A 27,467-nucleotide genomic window follows, 5' to 3' on the forward strand; every position below is an offset into this window, starting at 1 on the left:
AGGAACTGGAATATAGAAGAAGTAAAAACAGACACATTCCCTACCCTCAGATGCTTCCAGTCTATTGGGGAGATAGACATTGATGAAAAAAATCACATATGTAGTTGAAAAATTTAATAGTAAATAGGGCTTAAATATACAGTGATAAGCGATAAGGTATAAATATATGATAACCTATAATAGTGATTTGGATAGGGTGGGAAAAAGGGAAGCAGGAAAATAATCCAAAATCTTTAATCTTTGAAGAATTGAAAGCCACCAAAGTGTTTTTTTTTAATTTGGGGGGAACTTCAGTGAACAAATGTGCATTTGATTCACTGAAGAGAATAAGTTCAATTAAGTTTGTACTGGCAGGGATATATAATGTAAGAAAGACACTGGATTTTAAGGCACACAACCTAGATTCAAGAAACTATTATTATTTAATTGGATATAAGATTTGAATGGCAATTACAAGGGTTGATTATGATACTTCCCAATTTTATATAGAAGGGAGGTTTTATGAGTTGAAATTAATTTTTAAAATTTTTATTTTACTGAGGTAACAATGCTTAACATGAGATCTATCCTCCTAACATACAATAGAGTTTTAAACAGTTCATTCTGTATATAATAGCTTTATCTCTGTAGTATTTATTATGTCTATAGTATTATAGATGCTTACTCAGGAAGGTGATACAAATATTACATGTTATTTTTTCCCTCCTTTCAGCTAAGCCTGACTTAGCTCTGTCAGACTGTCCCCAGGTAGATTCTAAATATAAGTGCGGCATTGGGCAGCTGCTTCTCTTCAGCTCTATTTATTCCTTGCAAAAATGCTGAGACATTGCTTTTTTGCTTTAGCTTTTGTTTTCCCCTAATTATGTTCAACTTAAATGGCTATAGGAGCTAAAAATATAGCATGGAGAAGAGCTGTGAGAGCATTTAGTACAGGTCCTGAATGAACACCTCCCTCAGAAGCCACTTTTTAAATTGGCTTGATGCTCAATATGGAAAAATTCCCAACAGCCTCCAAAGCTATTGTCACAAAATAGATAGCCAGATTGCTGCCAAACATAATCCAGGGAACTGACAGTTAATCTAATGGAATCCTAGAATCATAGAGTTATAGATTTAAGGAAACACAGAAACTTAGAACTTCAAAATTATAAACTAAAACACACATTTTTAAAAATATGGAGACACTTGAGCTGGGCATGGTGGCCAGTATCTGTAGTCACAGCTACTTGGGAGGGTGAGGCAGGAGGAATACTTGAGCCCAGGAGTTCAAGGCCAGCCTGGACAGCACAGACAGGTCTTATCTCTTAAAAGAATAGGTGGTGATTGGAATTAGTGTTTAAAAAGTAAAGAAGAAATATATATATATATATATATATATATATATATATATATATATATATATATATATATATATATAGTTGAAAGTAATCTGAAGTCCACCTGCTTCAACTAACCACTCTATGTTTGAACTTACTATTAATATAATATCTGAGCCCTCAAGTAGCTGCTAATATTCTATTTGAATGCATAGAGTAATAGGAGCTCATTACCTCCCTAGGTAGCCTGTTTCATATTTGGGCAGCTTGAAATATTAGAAAGCTTATCTCAAGGCTGAGATTAAATCTGACCTCTGGTAATGCCAACACATTGGTCCTGGTAATTCCTACAGATTGGTCCTGTTCTAGTACAAATGCTGTGAATGTCCAAGGAGATAAAACATGGATAAGCTCACTCAAGGTCCTTTGGATTTGTTTGATTTCCTTCAGTCATAGACATAGCAACACAAGAATACAATCAAGAACATCTGTGTATTTTGTTACGAGGCCTGGGCCTTAGTTATCTTCCCATGCTTCTTAATCATTTTCCTGTATTATTTAATAGAAATCTGAGTTAACTCTGATTTCTTCTTATCTATTTCTGCACATGATAGGGAATATTTGTCAAATGTATTCTATATACTTTATATATGTTCTAAGGACTTTATGGGTGTAACTCATTTATTTCTCAAAATAACCCTGTGAGATAGGTTTGTCATTATCCTCATTTCTCCAATTTATCCTCATTATGTAGAGGAAAAAAAATTGAGAAGCAAAAAAAGTATGTACCACATACAGGTTTTTCAATAGTGAGTGCCATAGCTGGAATTCAAGCTCAGGACATCTGACTACATGAGAAGACAAAAATAAAATCAAACAAACATAAAACAGGATGATAGATGCAATAATAAAAAGTGTGTGTGGCCAGGTGCAGTGGCTCATGCGTGTAATCACAGCACTTTGGGAGGCCGAGGCAGGTGGATCACCTGAGGTCAGGGGTTCGAGACCAGCCTGACCAACATGGTGAAACCCCAGCTCTACTAAAAATACATAAATTAGCCAGGCGTGGTAGTGCGTGCTTGGAATCTACTACTGTAATCAGCTACTCTGGAGGCTGACACAGGAGAATCGCTTGAACCCAGGAGGCAGAGGTTGCAGTGAGCCAAGATTGTGCCATTGCACACCAGCCTGGACAAGAGCGAAACTCCGTCTCAAAGAAAAAAAGAAAGTGTGTGCACACAGAAGAGCGATCAACTTCATCTTGGGGTGAGGGTAGGAGCCAAGGAGAACTCTGGAGAAGTGTTGATAACAGATCAAGGTTTTGAAGCATGACAAAGAGCTCACTAGGTAGATAAATGGTGAAGAACCTTCTGACAGAAGAGGTGACATATTGAAAAGGCAGAGAGGTGTGTTTGGGACCCAACAAGTAGTTCACTAGGACTGTTTGGTAAAGTACAAGGGAGAAGGAGTAAGGAAGAAGTGGGTAGGAGCCAGGTGACAGGGCTGTGGTGCCAACTAAGGAATTTTCTTTTTTATTTAAGTTTTAGGGTACGTGTGCACAACGTGCAGGTTTGTTACATATATATACATGTGCCATGTTAATGTGCTGCACCCATTAACTCGTCATTTAACATTAGGTATATCTCCCAGTGCTATCCCTCCCACTCCCCCCACCCCACAACAGGCCCCAGTGTGTGATGTTCCCCTTCCTGTGTCCATGTGTTCTCATTGTTCAATTCCCACCTATGAGTGAGAACATGAGGTGTTTGGTTTTTTTGTCCTTGTGATAGTTTGCTGAGAATGATGGTTTCCAGCTTCATCCATGTCCCTACAAAGGACATGAACTCATCATGTCCTTTTTTATGGCTGCATAGTATTCCATGGTGTATATGTGCCACATTTTCTTAATCCAGTCTATCATTGTTGGACATTTGGGTTGGTTCCAAGTCTTTGCTATTGTGGATAGTGCCGCAATAAACATACGTGTGCATGTGTTTTTATAGCAGCACCATTTATAATCCTTTGGGTATATACCCAGTAATGGGATGGCTGGGTCAAATGGTATTTCTAATTCTAGATCCCTGAGGAATTGCCACACTGACTTCCCCAATGGTTGAACTAGTTTACAGTCCCACCAAGAGTGTAAAAGTGTTCCTATTTCTCCATATCCTCTCCAGCACCTGTTGTTTCCTGACTTTTTAATGATTGCCATTCTAACTTGTGTGAGATGGTATCTCATTGTGGTTTTGATTTGCATTTCTCTGATGGTGCCAACTAAGGAATTAAAACAGGGTTTTACAAGAGAGTGACAGGGTAAAAACAACAAATGCATTTGCTTACCTGTGTATGTGAGGTTTTTTAAAATTTTGAAATATAAGTATGATCAGTTGTACAGATGTTATTTTGGGACCAAGTTACTCATCAAAAATGACATTCCTGAGACTGAAGTTGCTTTCAACATAATAACAAATTTTAACTCTTCCTTCATATTCATATGAAAGCCAAGAACATTCTAATACTTAAAAAAAACCCTAAAATTCCATTTAATGTTGCCATCTAGATAAATTGTCGCAATTATGGGTAAACAATGGTGCAGGTAGCAACCTCCTGGAGGGCTGAAAAAAAGAGGTTGAGAATAGTCTGTTCTGTCAGGCTTTTGACTTGGCAGCTGCTTCCAGGTTTATGGATACTCAAAGGGAAACAAGGACAAGGAGTTTCTGGCGGAGACACTCAACTTGTATGGAGATATTAGTAAGTGCTCACTGACAAATAGGCATCCCACAAGGGACATCTGGACCTTGCTCATTTCTCAGAATTAAATAAGATTATTGTAAAAGGCAACAAAGCAAAATTATGGGGGAAAAAAACCTTATCCTAAGTAGTTTCCATCAAGCAAACAAATAGCAAAAATGTAGAAAATTCAAGTTAATTTCATAAATGCATTCATTCATTCAATCAGAGAGCAAATGTTAATCGAGGAAGCAAACCTATTAGAATTTGGGTTCTGGTCATGGTTCAGCCACTTACTAGCTGTGAGTCCCTGGGCAAATTAATTAATCTCTGTGCCCCAGTTTTCTCAATTATAAGAGAAGAAATAATAGCAATAATAATACCTGTATTTTTAGGGGTAGAGAATAAGAGAGTTGATTGAAAAGATATCAAGGGGGTGAAAACAACCAGAATCAAATTTGTTAACCATATAAATGAGGAATGAGGAAGAGAGAGAAGCTTAGAAAGGTCTCTAGGGATCTGATCTAGGGCTAGTTATAAAAACAGGGAACACAGCAAGGAAGGACTGAGGACACATTTATTAGGACTCTGTTATAGGTAAGGCATGCCAGGAGAGAAGCAGATGCTCTTGTAGCTGAGGCAAGACTTTTATATCTGTGTCATTTAGGAGAGAACATACAAGGATATGATATTGCTAAAATGAGTACTAGGAGGCTATAAGAATTCACCAAAGAAAAAGCTCAGGGAAAGTTGCTACAATCATGACAGGCAGTAGAGGATTAGAAGCCTGAAGATAAAGTTTAATCTCATCAAGTCTAACCTCCACTACCACTTTTCAGATGTGGAAACTAATGTTTAAAGTGGGAAAGTACCTTGTCCATGGTCACACAATGAATTAGAGGTAGGACTAGGACTAGGAATGTAGCCCTCTTTCTGCTACATTGGGTTCTATGCTCCCACAGGGACCTGAACAGGGAAGCTCTCAGGTACCTTTCTATCTATCTACTGCACAGCAGGGCTTTGGCTAGTATGTTTTATCTTTCTTTAAAAAAAAAATCTGCCTGAGCCTCGGCTTTCCCATCCGCCTATCATATTTCTTCTTGGACACTCACAGTGCACACTAGGTTTTCAATATGCACTGTGAGTGTCCAAGAAGGGATATAATAGGCAGTTTTCTTTTTTTGAAGTAAAAAATTAAAAAAAACCCCAATACTGTTTAACCTAATATTTTCCAAACAGATACCTACTATCTTATAATGCCTATATATGTTCCCATGAAACACAATTTGAGACATGCAGAAACAATTCTGCTAGGGAGATGCAAGGCTTATAATCTGACCTACGGTGAAAGTTGGAACAAATAGGGCTATCTGATGCCTGAACTGTGCCTGGAAATATAGTAAGAGTTAGTAAAAAGAAGGAGATAGTGAACAGGGAAGGCCTTCTGGGCTGAGGAAATGTAGAAATGTGCCACAAGATCATATATGCAGAATTCCACAATGGAAATTGAGCACAAAGGAGTAGAGAGAGATTAGGATAAAGAGGTAACTGGAGTTTCCAGCAAGAGGGACTTACGATGCCATAATAAAGAATTTGGGAGGATGTTCACTTCTAGCTGAGAAAGAATAACAGTTTGGATTTACCCTCCCACCTGAAAAAACAAACCAAAAAAACAGAAGAAAATACATGGAAAAATGGTTTACAAGACATTGGACATAAGACAATGAAGGTCAGTGATCACTGTGAGATGGAAAACTAATGTATTCAGCTCCAGGATTGCCCCAGCTTATCAGAGAGTTTATAGGCCAGGGCACAGGGAGGGAAACCAAAGAAGAGGCTGATATACTCCCTGAGTTAAAGGGACCAATCTGAGAGCTTGGAAAGACCCTCAACTAAAATTTGCAGGTCAGAGAACTGGAGAGGACAGAGTAGAAGACAGAAAAAATTAAAGAGCTTTGCCAAGGGTTCTCCTTGAGTATTCAGTAGAGTACTGATCAGCACAAGTATGTGGAAAAACTGCAGCCAAGGAAAGAACCATTTGAAGGATTAGATGGAAAAGTGCCTGGTACTCACACAGGGCTAAGAACAGTTAAACTAGAAACCTCATAATTCATAGGGCACTGGGTAGAGTACTCAGAAGGAAGGGACTGGCCTCAGTGGTAGGGAAAAATTAAGCTGAGCAAATACTTTTCTGGTGTCACCTAATGAACTTAAAAGCAAGACTTCAAAGAACGAAACTGTTTCTAAGTAACATAACTGCATCCCAGAATGAAGTTTAAAAACATTTACAGGAAAACAGAAATGTCTACCACTGAACAGGGTAAAATTCAGTCATTTGAGAAATGTCTGCTATATAATAAAAAAAAGCAGGCATGCAAAGAAGCAGGAAAATAAATTGAAATAAATGGAAATAAAATAAATTGAAAATAATGAGGAAAATAGTCATATCAAAATGGACATAGAACTGATACAGATGTTAGCATTAGCAGAAAAAGACATTGACAGTTATTATAGCTGTATTCCATATGTTCCAAAAGTTAAGAAGAGACATGAAAGATATAAATCAAGCGTCTGTAGATAAAATTATAATATCTGAGATTACAGTGTACATTGGATGGAAAAATGGCAAATTAGATATTGCAGATAAAAAGACTAGTGAATTCGAAGACATAGCATTGTATCAATAGAAACTAACCAAAAAGAAACACAGAAAGGAAAAAAGACCTTCCCTCCCCAATTAACAAAAAAACAGTGAGCTCTGGGACAACTTTAATTATCCTACTATACAATGAATTGGAATCCTTGAAAGCAGGGCTAGGGGTAGGCACAAAAAATGTCTGTGGAAATAATAGGTGAAATTTTTCCACGTTTGATGAAAACTAAAACTGGCTGATTAAAGAAACTCAATGAATCCCAAGCACAAAAAACATGAAGAAAACTATACCAGGGCACATCATAATCAATTTGTTTAAAGTCAGTAATAAAGAGGAAACTTGAATGTAGCTAAAGGGGAAAACCATGTTACATACCGAGAAACAACGATAAAGATGAAAACAGACTTCTCTTTGGAAACAATGCAAGTGAGATGACAGAGCAACATGTCTGAAGTATGGAAAGAAAAAACTTCAAACTAGAATTCTATACCTAGCAAGAATTTCAAAACTAAGACAAAATTCAGGTTTTTCAGATATAAAAAAGCTAAAAGAATTCACTACTAGCAGACCCACACTCTAAGAAGCATTAAAGGAAGTGCTTCGAGCTGAAAGAAAATTATGCCAGATGGAAATATGGATACCAGATGGAAATATGTATCTACCACATTAAAAGCATCATTTAACCATATGAAACAATACATAAGAATATGTCTTATTAGTTAAATAACTTCAAAAGATTTTACTATTCAAATAAAATAATAACAATGTAGTTTGGGGTTTATAATGGAAAATATATTGATATAAGGTTCTTATACTACATATGAAGCAGCATAATGTCAGTTGAATATAGATTATGATAAAGTTGTATACTACAAACCCTACATAAGCTACAAAAATAATGGAAGTAGTTAATTAGTTATTTAAGAGTTATATTTAATAAACTCTTATACAGCTAGTATCTAATAAACCAACAAAGGAAATAAAATGAAACCGTAAACATATTCAAAGAATACTCCATAACCATAACCATAACCATAAACATATTCAAAGAATACTCCAAAATATCCCCAAAGAAGGAAAAAAAAGAGAAAACAGAAACAAAGACTAGATGAAACAAATAGAAAACAAATAGCAAAATGAACACCGTAATTTAAAAATCAGAGATTTACAGATTAGATAACAAAGCATGGTCAAATTTATTATCCATAATAAATGTCCTTCAAACATAAAGACATAAATAGATTAAAAGTAAAAGAATGGAAAAGGTATACCATATTAACACTAATAAAAGCTGAAGTGGCCATATTAATATCAGATTAAGTAGACTTTAGAGCAAAGAATATTACCAGGGATAAAGAGAGTAATTTCATAATAATAAAGGGGTTAATTTATTAAGAAGATTTAACAATTCTAAATATTTATGCATCTAATACCAGAGCTTGAAGATACATAAAGCAAAAATTGATAGAATTGAACAAATCCGTAATTATAATCAGAGATTTCAATACTTCACTCTCAATAATTGACAGATTACATAGATAGAAAATCAGAAAGGATATAGACGATTTGAACAACACTATCAACCAATTTTACCTAATTGACACTTATAGAACATTCCACTCAACAACAGCAGGATATATATTTTTCTCAAGTACATGCAGAACATTACTAAGACAGATCATATTCTGGGTCATAAAACAAGTTTCATGCATGTGAAAAACCTGATGGAATCTACATAAAAGCTGTAAGAACTAATAAATGAGTTTAGCAATGTTGCAGGATACAAGATAAAACTCTATCCATCCTCAGGGATCCAGTGTGGTTCTATGAAGACACCAGCCTATTTTATAAGTCTGGGTTTTTCTCATGCTGGGCACTCTTCCTAGAATGCTCTTATTTTTCTTCTCCTCCTGCTTCCCCTTCCCCACCATGCACTCAAGAAAGCTGTGTAAAAAGACTGCTTATTTTTCAAGATTTAACTAAAATATCACCTTCTCTATGAAGCCTTTCCTGACCCACCCCCTCATTCCCCATCCCAGGGGAAAATTCATCCATCTTCTGAATGCTATATACATACACTTAAAATGGAACCTACCTCTACCGTTCTAAAAAAATTATCTATGAGCCACTCGAGAACAGGGATTTTTCCTACCCATTCCATGAAGTTTAGTGGATAAATGAATACCTTCTCCACTGTAATGTAACAAAATTGTGCCAAACTATTTATGTATGTTTGTATCTCCTTCACTGAATAGGGGGGGCTTCTAATGAGTGGGGATTGTGTTTGACTTCTATTTTATGCTCATTATCTAACACAATGCCAGGCACATGGTAAACTTTTCATGTACGTATGCAGACTATATACCTGGATAAACAGTATAGGGAAGGTCTGAAGTTCACAGCTTCTGGGAGAAAATATTTCAGAGGCCACAGGATAAGGTCGATAAATGAAAGCATGGAAGACAAAACAACTTTCTCTTAAGACAGCAAGCAGATTGCCTTGAGTTGTCTCTCTTCAGAGGCAAATGTTCCACCTTTGCTACCAACCTGTTGGTCAATACTGAGAGCCTGTGGCTGGGACAAATTATGCCGCACTCTCTTTTCCTGGCAAATTAAGAAATTTTCAGCATCTCGATAAAGTGTCAGATAAAGGAGAGAAAAATTCAATTTAGAAGGCCTTCATAACTCTTCACGAAGGCATTCCCAGGCATATGAATGGGCAGGTGGAGGGGAGGAGGCCTGCCAGCATCGATATCTCATTACTGCTAGCTTCAATGACCTGAGAGGTCAGCAAAGAAATGAGTGTCTCAGGGGAAATTTAGCTTGAGAGCAGTGATTCTGCCTTTCATTGTGTTGATGGACTAACTCCATTCATTCCTCTGACAAAAAAAGGTGGGGCTACTTATTTAGTCTAAGAAATTTCACAGCTGTAAAAGGGACCGTTTAGAGATCATCTGCTCTGTCTCTGACAGATACGGAGGTAGAGGCTCAGAGAACAGCAAGGCAAAGGCTGACTTCGTCAGGGCCCTGGCTTTATGACTACTCTCTACTCTCTGTTGTCACAGATTCTGTAAATCTTTTGGATTTCAATGATGTCTAAGGGTAAAGTCTAAATGTACGGGTGTGTTCTTCGAGAGCCTTCATTCTTTTCTTTTAATTTAAATTTTTTACTTTTTGTTGGTACATAGTAGGTATATATATTTACGGGGTACATGATATATTTTGATACAGGCATACAATTAGTAATAATCACATCAAGGTAAATGGGGTATCCATCACCTTAAGCATTTATCTTTTGTTTTTCAAACAATTCAATTATACTTTTTAAGTTATTTTTAAATGTACAATTAAATTATTATTAACTATAGTCACCCTGTTGTGCTACCAATACTAGATCTACTCATTGTTTCTAACTATATTTTATACTCATTAACCATCCCCACTCTATCCTCCCACCCACCAACTATCCTTCCAGCCTCTGGTAACCATCCTTCTACTCTCTATCTCCATGAGTTCAATTGTTTTAATTTTTAGCTCCCCAAAATAAGTGAGAACAAACAAAGTTTGTCATTCGGTGCCTGGCTTATTTCACCTAACATTATGATCTCAAGTTCTATCCATGTTGTTGCAAATGACAGAATCTCATTCTTTTTATGGTTGAATGGTACTCCATTGTGTATATGGACCACATTTTCTTTACCCATTCATCTGTTGATGGACACTTAGGTTGCTTCCAGATCTTGGCTATTGTGAACAGTGGTGCAATAAACATGGGATATGTTTGTTTCAGATATGTCTTCGATATACTGATTTCCATTCTTTGGGTATATCCAATAGTGTGATTGCTGGATCATATGGTAGCTCTATTTTTAGTTTTTTGAGGAACCTCCAAACTGTTCTCCATAGTGGTTGTAGTAATTTACATTCCCACCAACAGTGTTTGAGGATTCTCTGTTCTCCACATCCTTGCCAGCATTTGTTATTGCCTATCTTTTGGATATAAGCCATTCTAGCGGGGGTGAGATGATATCTCATTGTAGTTTTGGTTTGCATTTCTCTAATAATCAATGATGTTGAGAACCTTTTCATATGCCTCTTGGCCATCTGTACATCTTCTTTTGAGAAATGTCTAGTCAAATCTTTTGCTTATTTTTAAATTGGATTATTTAGATTTTTTTTTCCTATAGAGTTGTTTGAGCTCCTTATAAATTCTGGTTATGAATGCCTGGTCAGATGAATGGTTTGCAAATATTTTTCTCCCATTTTATGGGTTGTCTCTTCACTTTTTGATTGTTTCCTTTGCTGTGCAGAAGGTTTTTAACTTAATGTGATCCCATCTGTCCAGTTTTGCTTTGGTTGCTTGTGCTTGCGGGGTACTGATCAATAAATTTTTGCAAAGACCAATGTCCTGGAGAGGTTCCCCAATATTTTCTTGTAGTAGTTTCATAGTTTGGGGTCTTAGATATAAGTCTGTAACCCACTTAAATTTGATTTTTTTGTATATGGTGAGAGATAGGAGTCTAGTTTCATTCTTCTGCATATGATATGCAGTTTTCCTAGCATCACTTATTGCTGTCTGCTTGTTTTGTGGTCTTTTTTTCCTTCTTGTTTTCTCTTTAGTGAAGGTGATTTTCTCTGGTGATTTCTTGTTTTCTTTTTGTGTATCCGTTGCACATTTTTGAATTTGAGGTTACCATGAGGTTTGTAAATAATATCTCATAACCCATTATTTTAAACTGATGACCAGTGTAACACTGATTGCATAAACAAACTAACACACAAGCAAAGGGACAACTAATGAAAATTCTACACTTTAACTTCATCTCCCACTTTTTTGTTTCTATTTATATCTTATTATATATGTCTTGAAAAGTTGTAGTTATTATTTTTGATTGGTTCATGATTTAGTCTTTGTACTTAAGATATGAGTAGTTTACACACCACAATTACAATGTTATAATATCCTATGTTTTTATGTGTACTTACTGTTACCAATGAGTTTTGTACCTTCAGATGATTTCTTATTGTTTATTAACATCATTTTCTTTCTAAATAAAGAACTCCCTTTAACATTTCTTGTGGGACAGGTCTGGTGTTGATGAAATCCTTCAGCTTTTGTTTGTCTGGGAAAGTATTTCTACTTCACGTTTGAAGAATATTTTTGCTGAATGTACTACTATAGTGTACAATTTTTTTGTTTTTTTTGTGTGTTTTTCCTTCAGCACTTTAAATGTGCTATGACACCCTCTCCTGGTCTGTGAGGTTTCCACTGAAAAGTCGGCTGCCAGATGTACTGGAGTTCCATTGTGTTTGTTTTATTTCTCTTGCTGCTTTTAGGATCCCTTTATTCTTGACTTTTGCAAGTTTGATCATTAAATGCCTTGAAGTAGTCTTCTTTTGGTTAAATATGCTAGGTGTTTTATAACCTACTTGTACTTGAATATTGATAGCTTTCTCAACATTTGGAAAGTTCTTTGTTATTATCCTTTTGAAATAAATGTTCTAACCCTATTTTTCTACCTCCTCTTGAGGCTAGTAAGTCTTAGAATTGCCCCCTTTTGAGGATACTTCCCTAGTCTTGTAGGTGTGCTATATTATTTTTTATTCTTTTTCTCTCTTTTGTCTCTTCTGACTGTGTATTTTCAAATAGCCTTTCTTCAAGCTCACTAATTCTTTCTTCTGCTTGATCAATTCTGCTATTATGAGACTCTGATGCATTCTTTAGTATGTTAATTGTATTTTTCAGCTCCAGAATTTCTGCTTAATTCTTTTCAATTATTTTAATCTTTTTGTTAATCTTGAATTTATAGAATTCTTAATTCCTTGTCTGTGTTATCTTGAATTTTGTCAACTTTCCTCAAAATGGCAACTTTGAATTCCCTAAATTGTCACAAACCTCTGTCTCTCTGGGATTGGTCCCTGGTGTCTTATTTGGTTCATTTGGTGAGGTCATGTTTTCCTGGATGATCTTGATGCTTGTGGATGTTCCTTGCTGTCTGGGCATTTGAATCATTAGGGATTTATTGTAGTCTTCACAGTCTGGGTTAATTTGTATCTGTCCTTTTTGGGAAGGCTTTCAAAAGTATTCAAAGGGACTTAGTTGTTGTGATCTAACTTTTTAGTCCTTGTAGCCATATCTGCATTAAGGGGCACCCCAAAACCAGTAATTCTGTGGCTCTTGCAGACTCGTAGATGTACTGTCTTGGTGGTCTTGGAAAAGATCTGAAAGAATTATCTGGATTACCAGACGGAGACTCTTGTTCTCTTCCTTCCAATCAAATGGAGTCACTCTCTCTCTCTGTGCAGAGCTCCCTGGAGCAAATATCCCTGTGGCCACCACCACTGGGACTGTGCTGGGTCTGACCTGAAGCCAGTATAGCACTGCGTCTTGCCCAAGGTCCACTGTAACTCCTACCTGGCTAGTGCCTATGTTTGCTGAGGGCCCTAGAACTCTACAATCAGCAGGCGGCAAGGCCAGCCAGGCCTGTGTCCTTCCCTTCAGGGCAGCAAGTTCCCCCTCAACCCTGGTTCCTCCCACAACCCTTGGTTCAAAACCAAGTCCTGGAGTTGGATATCTTAGAAATCTACTTGGTGCTCCATTCTACTGTGACTGAGCTTACACCCAAGCACAAGATGAAGTTCTTCCCATCCTTCCCTCCCCTTTCCATAAGCAGAGGCCTCTCTCCCTGTGGCTACCACCACAGGGCCCATGAGGAGTACTGCCAGACTACCACTTATGTTCACCCCAAACCCAAGGGCTCTTCAGTCAGCTTGTAGTGAATCTGGCCAGGCCTGAAACTCACCCTTCAGGGAAGTGAGCTCCTCTCTGGCCCAGGGCAGGTCTAGAAATGCCAACCTAGAGCCATGGCCTGGAATTCGGGACTACAAGCTCCTGCTTGGTTCTCTACCCTTATGTGGCCCAGCTGGTAACTAAGCTGCAAAACAAAGTCTCCTTTACTCTTCCCTCTGCTTTTCTCAAGCAGAAGGAGTCTCTCCCCATAGCCACCATAGATGGGAATGTCCTGGGTCAAACCTGAAGCTCGCATGTCTCAGGGTCTCAGCCAAGGCCTACAACATGTATGACCTGACTATCACTGCTGATTATTCAGGGCCACGGGCTCTTTAGTCAGCAGGTGATGAATCCTGCCAGGACTGGGTCCTTTTCTTCAAAGTAGCAGATTCCCTTCTGGCTCAAGTTATGACTAGAAATGTCATCTGGGCACTAAAGCCTGGAATGGGTACCTCAGGACTCTGCCTGACACCCTATCCTACTGTGACTGAGGTGGTATCCAAGTTGCAAGACAAAGTCTTCTGAACTCTTCTCTCTTCTCCAGAAAGAAAGGGGTCTGTGTTGGAGCTGTGAGATGTGCTGAAGGGGTCTGTGTTGGAGCTGAGCTGTGAGCTGTGAGCTGTGGGGAAGGGATGGCACAAGCACTCCCCTGGCTGTCCTGGCTGATGCCCCTCAAGTTCACTGGCCCTGACCCCGGAACAGCACTAGGACTTGCCTAGGAGTAACAGTCCTTGTGATCCAGACCGCCTTTGAAGTTTATTTAATACCCCAAAGCACTTTAACTCATGGTGGAGAGGCTTGATGGAACTCAATTATGACTAATGGAATTGATGATTCCTCTCTGGTTTGGGCTGGTCTGGCCTAAATGCTCCCTCCATGAGTATTGGCTGAGTTTAGCCTGTTGTTTCTTTCCACTATGACACAGCAGCACTGAGTTCCAATACAAAGTCCCACAATCACTGCACTCTCCCTCCCTGAAGCACAAAGATTTCACATGATGCCAGGAGAAGGGGGAGGGGTGGCATCAGCAATTCAAGATGGTATTTCCTATTCTCTTCAGTTCCTCTATCAGTGATATGAAGTAAAAACCAGGTACTGTGATTGCTCACCTAATTTTTGGTTCTTAGAAAGGTGCTTTTTTTGTGTAGATAGCTGTTAAATTTGGTGTTCCTGAAGGGAGGATGATCAGTGGAGGCTTCTATTTGCCATCTTGAGCTTCCTCCCTCTAAGACCCTTCAGTCTTGATTCTAATTCACCTCTCCACTCTTCATTTTCTACTTCTTTCCCACCTGTATTCCAGCCACAGTGTACATTAACTCATAGTTTCTGGAATGTCCCACGTAATTTCACACCTCTATACCTGTGCCTGTGCCATTCCCACTCCCTAATTGACATTTCTTTCTTTTATTCTCTGTAAGATTCCTAGTCATCCTTCAAAGCCTAGTTCAAATGTTGCTTCCTCTTTTAAAACTTCCTGGATGTTTCAAGGCAGAACTACTTCCTCCCTGTACTATGCTTATAGCATTTTCTATATGTATCTGTTATAACACTACATTATACCATAGGTATATGCTATGACTATATATATTAATATATACATATGCACAGGCAGGTTATCTTGTTTGGAGGTGTTATCCCCATTTAAAATGTTCAGGTATATGTAAAGCAAACACCTTATTCATGCAGCTATTTTTGCAGACCTACATTTGGCCAAGTAGTGGGTACCCAGAATAATATTACTGCCCCAAGAAACTGCATGTATTTCCCAAGTTCAAATACTGAAGTCATAAACATTTATTTATACCAGAAACAGTAGTATATATGAGGATATATGGCTTACTTATGATGTTGAAATACTTTTTATGAACTCATAAATCAAATTCTATTTATAGCATATGGTTTATATATATATTCATTGATATTAATAGACAATAATGTATTTAATACAAAAGCTCTCAGTAGATTAGTTCTGTAGTATATATTTCCTATGCATAATTAGATCAGGTACAGATACATAATTCCAAAATTCATGTAATCCATATTCTGTAGCATCATCCAGGGAAAAATCCCATGAAAATAAGAGGATTATCTTGATAAAAGAAGTTGAAAGAAAATACAAAATTTCAAACACAATTTGAGCCAAAAAAGACAAATCACGAAATTTGTTTATTTGGCTGCTTCCTTGGCTGTCTATTTAAAGCTAAATTTCAAAGTCCTGAGCCTACTACATAAACTGGTGGCTGTGTACCTCTCTTCATTCCTCCAGCCCTGATGGACCATGTGACATACAGTCCTACTCTCCCTCCATATGTGATCTTCCCCTACTCTTCACCTGGCTAAAACCAACCTATCCTGCAAATTTCAGTTTCAGTTTATCTGATGTGCCCAGCTTGGTTAGGTACCTGTTTTGGCCTATCACAACCTCTGGGCTTCCCTCTGTCACAGCACAAATTATACTGTGTGGTCACCATTCACATTTCAGTCTCTCTTATTATACTAAAGCCTTGAGAGCAGGGATCTAATAGGTCAGTCTACAGATATTTATTGAATGTTTACTAAGTGCTGGGCATTATTCTAGGTGCTGGGAATATAGCAATAAACAAAACAAATGCCTTGCCCCAAAGGAGTTTTCATTATAGCAGGAGAAGATTGTCTTAAATTAGTAAACAAAAATTAAATGAAATAAGTTCAGCTACTAATACGTTATGAAGAAAATTAAATGGCATAATTTGGTAATGACTGGGGTAGTGTGGTATATTTCAACTAGAATGATCAGGAAAATATTCTCTGAGGAGGAGACCCAAAAAATGAAAACTTTCCTATGGGAAGAGTGCCAAGTGTTGGAGAGAGAAATGAGCTTGCCATCTTTGGGTGACAGAGAGAAGGTCATAATAGCTAGACCATAGTCACTGAGTGGAAGGGGAAAAAGTAGAAGAAGTAGGCAGAAAACAAGCCCTGTAGTGCCTTATTGGCCATGATAAGAACCTTATTTGAATAGGAATGGAAGCCAAGAAAGGTTTTAAGCAGGGAGAGACATAATCTGGCTGTTGTGTGGAGAATGGATTCTAGGGGCAAGAAGTAGGGAGACCAGTCAAGGCTATTTCAGCAGTCCAAACATATAATAGTGACCTGGATTAGGGTTATGGCAGAGGATATGGAGGAAAGTGAGTGGGTTGGGGACATATATTAGAGATAGAGTGGCAAGACTCACTAATGGACTGGATGTAAGATGTGAGGGAAAGAAAAAAAAATAATGATAGCCCTCAGGTTTTTACCCAAATTCATTTGCTGTGATGAAAAATACCTGAGTTTTTGTTTTGAATATATTCATTTTGACTTGCCTATTTGACATCTGGATTGAGATACTATGCAGACAGTTTGATTATACTAATCTAGAGTTCAGGAGAAGTTAAGGTTGAAAATGTAGATATGGAACTCATTAGCATATAGTTGACATTTAAAGCTATAGGAACAGATTGAATTATGTGGAAAATGAGTATAGCTGGGGAAGAGCAAAGAAAAGAAGAAAGCATAGTGGCTAGAGTACTTTAACATTTAATGTATGGGAGCGAAGAATACATCAAACGATCCTGAGAAAAAGTGGCCACTGTGGAGAAGAAAGAGGACTAAGGGAGTGTGGTATCTTGAAAGCCTAAAGAAGAAAGTATTTCAGGAAGTAGGTTGTCAGTTAACTGTGTGAAGTGCTGCTATGAGATCCAATAACATGAAAACAGGGAAATGACCATTAGAATTGGCAGGATGATGGTCTAAGATGATCTTGATAAAGGGTGTTTCAGAAGAATGTTGTGAATTAAAGTTAAGAGTGGAAAGAGAAGAGTGATGCATGGTGAGAATGTGGAAAGGATGAGTATAGATAATTCATTAGAAAAATTTTGGTATGAAGTAGAGAAATGATTTATAGCCAGAGGAAAATGTGGGGCCAAGGAATTTCCTTCCTTCCTCCCTTCCTTCCTTCCTTCCTTCCTTCCTTCCTTCCTTCCTGTCTACTTATCTATATAAAGATATAAAATATTATTGCTAATTTGTTTGCATATAGGAAATCCAGAAAGTAATAATTGTTTTTTCAAGATGGAGTCTTGCTCTGTCACACAGCCTGGAGTGCAATGGTGCAATCTCAGCCCACTACAACCTCCACCTCAGGGGTTCAAGCAATTCTCTTGCCTCAGCCTCCCCAATAGCTGTGATTACAGGTGCCCGCCACCACGCCCAGCTAGTTTTTGTAATTTTAGTAGAGATGGGGTTTCATCATGTTGGCCAGGCTGGTCTTGAACTCCTGACCTCAAGTGATCCACCCGCCTTGGCCTCCCAAAGTGCTGGGATTACAGGTGTGAGCCACTGCACCTGGCCCAGAAAGTGATAAATTTAAGATGTAGAAGAGATAGGGATAATTTTAGTAAGATCAAATGGGGTCTAAAATACAGGCAGTTGGACTTAGAGAGGAATAAGGACATGTTCCATTCTAACAAAAGGAAAGGCAGGGTGTGTGGGTAAGCATACAAGTAGGTTGATGAATTTTCAGGTAGTTGTTATCATATGGCTTCTTTTTTCTCTTTTAAGAATGAGATAAAGTCACTAGCTAAGATGACCCATTTGATTCCATATTCTTAATGTTTAGAAAAACACGCAGCATACAATAGGCACTCTGGAAACGTTTGCTGAGTGATCCAATTATCAAACAAAATTGCACATGATCTGGCCTCATGAACTGAATCTTCTTAACTCAAGAGGAAGAGCTCTATAAATACAAAGTCTTAGACTGAAATCCTGGGTCTGTCAGTTACCAGTTGTAAGACTCTCACTAAAGTACTTAAGCTTTCTGAGTCTAAAATTTCTTACCCATAATATGAGGATGAAATGCCTACTTCATAGGAATATTATAAAAAATCAACCAGACACTATATATAAGCACTTGTCATAGAGCTTGGCACATAAGTGCTTGATAAATGGATATTGCCACCAGTGGTGTATATTGTCATCATTACTGCTACTTCTACTAATATTGGTCACCATCAAACTCTTCCATTTGTTTCCTCAAATAGATTGCAAATGCCTATAAAGTAAAAGAATCTGTCTTATAAGCCTTTCACAGTAAGTTTCTTTTTAAGATGATGGTGAATACAACTTCTTTGGGTATTCCAAAAACAGAAAGAACCCTTTAGGTTGGGTAGTCAGAGAAAGATTGAATCCACTAGTTTGAAGACTGAAGCCAAACTATTTCATCTTTATTGGCATTTTAAAAAATGCAATTTCATCGATTATCCCTTTCTGCCTTCAAAAGAGTTCATGGGATGAACATTTTCCTCCTGATTTAATAAACAAATAAAGACTTAAGAAAAGTGAAATGATTTAAGGGCTCAGTTTATAAATGTGGAGCTGGGGTGTCTGCATCCAAATGCTCTGTGCTCTCTACTACATTCATTTTTTGAAACATGCCACAAAAAGAGCCAAATGAAAGATATTGAAACTGGCAATAGAAGTGTGAGGCCCCTCTGAGCTATAGCCTGCCCATCTGATATCATACGGTATGGTGGAGACTGGTGAATGACCCCTAAATTTCTTCTCCTCCTTTTCTGGGCATGTCTAAACCACATTTCCTATGAACATTCTCACTGCAATAAATACCAGGCATGTCACCAACTTCTGACCAGTGGGATGTAAATGAAGGTGAAGTGCACCATTTCAGGCCTAAGCTTTAAGGCAGTGGGCTTTCTTTGTGAACTCTCTCTTTCCTCTTTCAATCATCTAGAACCCAAGGGGGCCTAAATTTGTGCAGATGACAAAAATGCCCTAGGTGAAGGTGGAACAGGGTACTGAAAGGAATGTGGATTCCTATATAACTGTGGGGAGTAGAGCTGGCTGCCAGTGTAGACTGCTCAATTCAGAACCATTTGTGAAAGAGAAATGAACGTCATTGTTCTTTAAGTCACAGTACTGTTGGGTTTCCTTGACTATTATTAACACATAGGGAAACATACTTGAGAAGACAGCTGAAGGAGAGGAAGCTTAGGAGAATATGGCAGCTGCTTGAAGATCTCTCCATAGTTCCCTTGAGGCAGAAGGGGCAGATAAGTCCCACATGTACCCAGAAGCAGAACCAGAACAGATGCACAAGTAGGACCCAGAGACAGAGTTTACTTCCATAAAAGGAGGAACTTCCTTTTGGAGTTGTTTTACTGTATGAGAGATGTCTTTCAAGGTAATGAGTTCCTTGTCAGTTCAGGTATGGCAGCAGGGACTGGATGATCTGATAAAAGTGCTACAGTCAGGGCTCAAGCTTTCTTTGTAGGGTTGAACTATATGACCCTTAAGGTCCCTTCCATCCCTGAGAGTCTAGACTGCAGAAGAAAACAAATCTCATCCAATTAAGAACATCAGAAAAGTGAGTGATGACTCACTGATGAAGAAGATGGCTGTGCTTGGATTTCAATTGCCATAATAATCATCATCATCACAGAAGTTCTACTGGCTTTTTCTCCCTTTGATTAAAGTCCTCAGAAATACCTTCAGGCTCCCTTCCAAACAAATGGCCCATTATAGAAACTCAATTTTAATCTGATCTCCTCTCTCAGTAATTACATTATTCGTCAAGAGAACAGGACATTCACTTAATGAAGGGGATGCAGCTCAAAGGGTAAGCACTGCAAACATCCAGAAGTGAAAGGAATGCACTTGGCATGACGTGCCTCCACCAAAGCACATTAGAAAAAGGCTGTGCAGCACGAGAAAAGTATCAGATTGGAAGGCAGAAAGCCTGGGTCCAATCTTTTCCTTGCTTGACTCACTTTCTCTCACTGGGTCTCTACAATTGGGTGGGAGTGCCACTCCCACCCAATCCATATTCCACAAAGAAGCCTGAAGGACTTCCAAAAAACCAAATATGATTAAGACTGTCTATGCTTTAAACCTTTCCCTGAATCTCCACTATTTTGGGATAAACCCTAATATGATCTACCAGCCCCCCTTAGACCCCATTATCTAGACCTGGAATGCCACCTTCCAGCATCAACAGAGTCCATTCTATTAAAGCCATACTTGGGTTCTTTCAGTTCCTAGAAATAGACTAGTTCTTTTCTCAGTCTTTGTAGATGGTGTTCTCTGTCAAGAACACTTCTCTTCTTGCTGTTTGTCTAGGTAACTTCTATTCATCCTTTGGATCTCAGCTTCTTTTCAATTTTATTACTATCCCTTACTATGTGCAAAATACTAAGTGCTTTCTAAATATTAGCTAGTTTTATCATCTTTAATGTGCTGCAAGTAGGTACTATTATTATTCCTATTTTATAGATGGGGACACTAAGACTCAGAGAAGTTACATGCGTCTCCCAAGGTCACAGGGCTAGTAAGTGGCAAAGCAAGTATTCCAACCCAGTCTGGTTTGAGTCCATGCTTTTAACCCCTATACTAAGTTGATCCATCACTTCCTCAGGGTGACCTTTATGATCAAGTGATCTCCCTTATGTATATGACTGCACATGTCACTCCATTGTTAATAAGTATGTAATGCTATCTTCCCTGCTAGTCTGAGAGCTCTGGGAAGATGAGGATACAACCTTTCTTGTCCATTGCTATACCTCCAGCCTCCAGCATACCTTGTAAATTCAGTAAATGGCTTTGGATTTGATTAATACATATACAAATAGGAATCAGTTTTCTAATATGTAAAATTAGAAAAGTTGATCTTGGTCTACATTTTTTTATATTGCTTTAAATAAGAAACAGTCCTAATCTGAGATGCTGGCCTTGATACATGTTGGAAAACTATCATAGTGAAGACCATTTCAACTATTTAAGCCTTAGCTGTTCCCACTGTAGAAGACTACTGGACTAGCTGCTCTTTAAAGACAACTCTAGAGTACCTGAAGTGTTTATAACCACTGCATATTATAGGATGTGAGCATGGGAAATTTTGGTTATATTTGCCTTGTTTAGTGTTGCCTATTTCTGGCCGGATGTAAAATTCTTACTGAATACACCACTAAGAACAGAGCAATTATGAGGCTTGGAAGCACAATTGGTTTTTCAGGCTGGTGAGAAATTCAGGGAACTTAGGAGTAATAGAGGACAGGTATAGTGAAGTGAAGAGAATATACAACCCAAAGGCAAAAGCTCAGGGTTGAGTGCCGGGCTCTTTCAACCTACCAACTATATCATCTTTAATGAGTCAGTTGATTGATAAATTCAGATTCTAAGTGGGACCAAATTAGTGTACTGCTTAGGGATATTACTTTCTCTTTAAACCATTATGCTTCATTTTTAGGAACTTGCAGGTCTGCTTTGTTTCGAGAAGCTTCTGTGGCCTCCAGTTTTCAGTCTTTTGTACTTTCTGCTTTTTAAAGAGTTCAAAGAGGAATTAAAGTGTTAAAGTTATAACATGACCCTTTAGATAATGGCTTCTTAAAGTGGCTAATATCATCTTGAAATCTTCAATTGACAAGCAGTTATTTAGCTCTAATTATATGCCAGAGTTCATAAAATAACTTGGGCAAGTTCTTAACTTCTGTTTGTTGGTATTCTCGCCTATAAAATGGGAACATTCGAATGCAAGTTCAGGAAGTTATGAACACTCAGGGACTGGGCAGGAAGATTCTTGTCATTTCTTTGGTAGGAGGGTCCTCTCCATGAACACTTTTGCAGTGACCTGTGCTTCTCATCACTATGGGTAACATCACAAACTACACACCAGCCCTCCTTGACTCCAACCCTAATTCTCTTTCAGGTGGTTACCAAGTGGTGTCAGCTCTAAGTCCTGAATATCTCCTTAACATCTCAATTCTCACTGCCGTGGTGCTTCCTACATGTCTAGCCAAGATTACTATGACAGTCTCCTCATTTGTCTTCCCATACCAGTCTCTCTGGCCACAGAGAAAGTTCTTAAATTTAAGTGTGACCATATCACTTCCTTGTTTAAACACCGTCAGTAATGCTCCTTGTCCTTGGGATAAATTCAAACCTCTAGGGTATGATATATAACAATTAGAATAGGCTAGGATTAGAAATTTGGCTTTACCAGTACCCTGCCATTGGAACCTGAGGCAAATTAGCTAACTCCCTTAACTCTCTGTTTCTTCATCTGTAAAGTAAGATAATCGTCTTTACACTATAGGGTTGTGGTAAATATTGCATTAAGTACTATGTTTAAGATACTTAGCCTAATGTCTAGGACATAGCTAGAGTGTAATAAGTGATATTTCTTTTTACTACAAAGAAACTCAAATATTACGTATAATTGAGCAAGAAGACAGACATGGTAACAATCATGGAAAACACCAGCAAAAATAGATGTATAAGCAGCATTCTATGTAAGTTCAGAGGCAGAGGGTCATAAACACTGACTGAGAAATAACAGTAGCCTTCTCAGAGGAGGCAGTATTTGATCTAGATCTTGAATGGTCACCTAGGATGACTAACATGGGCAGAGTTTGTTGGACCCCTTTAATGGCTGGTTTTCTGTGCCCCTTTCTGTAGCCTTGCTCACTGGAAGTTGAAATAATTAGCATGGAGGTTCTGTTCACCAGGCTGTGATGATGCACTTATTCTATCGTAAAACTAAGGGCTTATTTTCCAATATAATTGATCCCTTAACCTTCAGAGACTCAAACATTCTCTGTACCTTCAAAACAATAGAAAATTAAAAGAACAATTTCTCTTTACCTTCTAAATCTTGGCAACCAAAAATAGGAGAGCAAGGGAGAGAACATTAAGGTCTCATCGGTTTCAATTCTCAACAATGTAATGTGTATTTTTTCTTATTGGAATTTCAAGAACTCTTATAATTTAATCTGTTATTTATTCTGTTAAAGTGCAGTCTTCCTTAAGAGCAAAAGGATTAATGGTTTCAAATTCCAGCACATTGACCTTTATTCTACATTAAAATGCTTATTTGAAACTATTCTGCCAGGGTTCCCATAAGCCATTCAGTATTGAACATCAAAGAAATATAAAGTTTAACTCCCACTCCACTCAGGAAGCAGAATTTTAGAAATAAAAATAGACTTTTGCATGCATAGATGCATGTAAGATGCTCTGCAGGGTTGTGTATAGACCAGGAGCAGAGGCTTAGTTGGACTAGGGCCTACCTCCTTGGTTCAGCTTTGACTCAGGCCCATCATGGACTGAAGCAAGGTCATTTTCTGAATATTTTTCTGTCACAGAAGAACATACCTTGTTTTATGGCATGGAAGCAAGTGAAGAAAAATCCCAAAGAATGAATGACTTGATGAAACATTAAAAATAAAGTTGAGGCCAGGCACGTTGGTGCACGCCTGTAATTCCAGCACTCTGGGAGGCCAAGGCAGGTGGATCGCCTGACGTCAAGGGTTCACGACCACCCTGACTAACATGGTGAAACCCCGTCTCTACTAAATACAAAAAAATTAGCTGGGCGTGGTGGCACATGCCTGTAATCCTAGCTACTTAGGAGGCTGAGGCAGGAGAATCGCTTGAACCCAGGAGGCAGAGGTTGTAGTGAGCCGAGATCACGCCATTGCACTCCAGCCTGGGCAACAAGAGCGAAACTCTATCTCAAAAAAATAAATACATACATACAAATAAATAAATAAAATAAAATAAAAATAAAGTTCAAAGATTTAATATGGGGAGAAGACGAGAAAGAAGAGAATGTATATTTATTGGCTACCTACTATGAATTTAGCATGGTACTAGGAGCTTTTAAGTAACTTTGTCTGCAAACAACACTTTAGCTCAGGTAGGCGTGATCTCCCTCTCTGAACTCCCACAGCCCCTTATCAATGATCCTTTCACAGCATGGCTCTTCTTACCTTTCCTCACAGTTACTCGTGTATGAGTCTTGCCTCCCACACTAGACTGGGTGCTTTCTTTTAGGGTAGATACAGCTGTTGTTTTAGCCATCTCTCTTTTCTGGAGAGCCAGGTCCATATTTAGATACTAGTTCTGTTGAATTTTGTCAAAATAATCTCTGGAAATCACCTCTTTCCTGTCCAAAATCTTCTGCACATGAATCCCCTTAGTAATATCACCCAAACAGGAGCCATTGCTGGTTCCCTACAAGGCTCTTGGAGCCAGACATGGTCAGACATCTATCTCTCTAGCTTCCCACTGGGACTTTGGTTTCTTACCAAATTTGATCAAATTCCAGACTCTCCGAATAGTCTAATGAGTCCCTTTTGCTGTCATTTAAACTGGGTGCTAATTGGCCCCAACTCAAAAGATTCACATCTCATTTCCACATTATCTCAAGGGCTGGGCCTTCATTGAGCCTCCCTCTCTTACTCCGCATAACTCTAACACCTTTATATGGGATCCTCCAAATAAAATGAGAGCTTTCTTGGCAGAACTCTTGTTGTCCAGTTTCTGGGATTTTTTCACTCTCAATATGAGCTGAACAAATCCAACTGGTAAGCGGCTCCTAGTGTTGGACACATGGCATTCCCCAAGATAGAGTCAGGAAACAGATCATCAAGAGATAAAGTCCTGATTGAGGATTACGTATGGCATTACAGGTATGATAGGCATATTAAAGGGATAATGTTTAGGGAGAGCACCAGCCTGAATGGGCTGAATAAAATGAAATGGCATATAAAAATTATCTCTCATAGAGCTGGCCCAGAGCAGGTGCTCAATGAATATGTCGCAGCCCCTATGGTATTATTCCAAAAACTTCTAGGGAACATCTCATCTATACCAAGCTCTGGGCTGGGCACTGGGGACACAGTGATAAATCAGATCCAGTCCTTGTCCATAATTAGTTCACAATCTAGCAGGGAGAAAGGGGAACAAAGATAATACTAGGCATAAAATGCTGGATTAAAAAGAGGCACAAAGCACTGAGAGAAACAGAGGAAGGCAGGCCTGAATCTTCCTGAGGAATTAGTGGAGCCTTGAAGTAAGGGGGACATTTGATCTGGGTCCTGAACCATGAGTAGAAATTCTTAGACAACTTCACCTCAGAAAAAGCAGATGGACCAATTGTACAAGGCCCACAATATGTATATGAAATATACCTTGACCTTTGAATATAGTGAGCAGTTTGGGATGGAGTATAGCATGCCTGGTGACGTTAGAGGGAAATAAGACTGGAACGAGTTTAGAGCAAGATGTTTGATGAGCACTGTTTCTCACCTTGCAGTCCAAATAACTTCTTATGGTAATACTGGGGGACATGGGAATGGGTATAGGCAGAGCCAAGACTGGAACCCAGGTCACAGACCTTGAACCCTGCATTTTCCACTATAACTAGCATCTAATAAAAACCAACCAAGAATATTTAGTTGAAAAATCATATCACCTATCTGTTGATAAATGCAGGCTATTTATCAAAACCACAAAATTGAAAGTCACATTCAACTCTGAATTCCCATAGAAACTAAATTTCAAGTTAGAGAGAAACTTTTCCATACAGTAGTCCCTACTTATCCATTTTCATTTTCCATGGTTTCAGTTCCCCACAGTCCAAAAATATTAAATAAAAAATTCCAGAAATAAACAATTCATAAGTTTTAAATTGTGGGCTGTTAAATAACATGGTGAAATCTCACACCATCCCTCTTCATCCCACTTCATCCCACATAGGACTTGAATTATTATCCTTTTGTCTGACGTAGCCATACACTACCTGCCCATTAGTCACTGAGTAGCCATCTTGGTTATCAGATTGACTGTCCTGGAATCACAGTGCTTGTATTCAAGTAACCCTTATTTTACTTTTATTACAGTATATTGTTATAATTGTTCTATTTTACTGTTAGATATTGTTGTTAATCTCTTACTATGCCCAATTTATAAATCAAACTTTATCATAGGCATGCATGATAGGAAAAAACATAGTATATATAGGATTTTGTACTATCTATGGTTTCAGACATTCACTGAGGGTCTCAGAACATAACCCCTGAGTCCCAGCACTTTGGGAGGCCGAGGCAGGTGGATCACAAGGTCAGGAGTTCAAGACCAGCCTGACCAACATGGTGAAACCCCGTCTCTACTAAAAATACAAAAATTAGCTGGACATGGTGGTGTGTGCCTGTAATCCCAGCTACTCAGGAGGCTGAGGCAGGAGAATTGCTTGAACCTGAGAGGCAGAGGTTGCAGTGAGCCGAGACTGCACCACTGCACTCCAGCCTAGGCGACAGAGTGAGACTCCGTCTCAAAAAAAAAAAGGGAGGAGGAGCCAAGATGGCCGAATAGGAACAGCTCGGGTCTACAGCTCCCAGCGTGAGCGACGCAGAAGACAGGTGATTTCTGCATTTCCATCTGAGGTACCGGGTTCATCTCACTAGGGAGTGCCAGACAGTGGGCGCAGGTCAGTGGGTGCGTGCACCGTGCGCGAGCCAAAGCAGGGTGAGGCATTGCCTCACTCGGGAAGCGCAAGGGGTCAGGGAGTTCCCTTTCCTAGTCAAAGAAAGGGGTGATGAAGGGCACCTGGAAAATCGGGTCACTCCCACCCGAATACTGTGCTTTTCCAACGGGCTTAAAAAACGGCGCACCACGAGATTATATCCCACACCTGGCTCGGAGGGTCCTACGCCCACGGAGTCTTGCTGATTGCTAGCACAGCAGTCTGAGATCAAACTGCAAGGCGGCAGCGAGGCTGGGGGAGGGGCGCCCGCCATTGCCCAGGCTTGCTTAGGTAAACAAAGCAGCGGGGAAGCTCGAACTGGGTGGAGCCCACCACAGCTCAAGGAGGCTTGCCTGCCTCTGTAGGCTCCACCTCTGGGGGCAGGGCACAGACAAACAAAAAGACAGCAGTAACCTCTGCAGACTTAAATGTCCCTGTCTGACAGCTTTGAAGAGAGCAGTGGTTCTCCCAGTACGCAGCTGGAGATCTGAGAACGGGCAGACTGCCTCCTCAAGTGGGTCCCTGACCCCTGACCCCTGAGCAGCCTAACTGGGAGGCACCCCCCAGCAGGGGCACACTGACACCTCACACGGCAGAGTATTCCAACAGACCTGCAGCTGAGGGTCCTGTCTGTTAGAAGG

The 27,467-nt window shown here is 39.0% G+C and overlaps 1 protein-coding gene across 10 annotated transcripts in view, besides 1 other annotated feature; it reads right to left on the reverse strand.

Annotated features, from left to right (window-relative positions):
• The window catches only part of AGBL4 (AGBL carboxypeptidase 4), a 1,501,444-nt gene that overhangs the window by 456,854 nt on the left and 1,017,123 nt on the right, over window positions 1-27,467 (reverse strand). The gene's annotated exons all lie outside the window — the stretch shown is intronic.
• Window positions 26,384-26,977: an enhancer, noted in NCBI's record as "NANOG-H3K27ac-H3K4me1 hESC enhancer chr1:49471420-49472013 (GRCh37/hg19 assembly coordinates)". NCBI's record gives its function as "activates a minimal SCP1, AML or CMV promoter by ChIP-STARR-seq in naive H9 embryonic stem cells {active_cell/tissue: H9 hESC(naive)}" and the evidence as "EXISTENCE:reporter gene assay evidence [ECO:0000049][PMID:30033119]".

The sequence above is a fragment of the Homo sapiens genome, chromosome 1 (genome assembly GCF_000001405.40).
Source record: "Homo sapiens chromosome 1, GRCh38.p14 Primary Assembly".
NCBI lineage: Eukaryota > Metazoa > Chordata > Mammalia > Primates > Hominidae > Homo > Homo sapiens.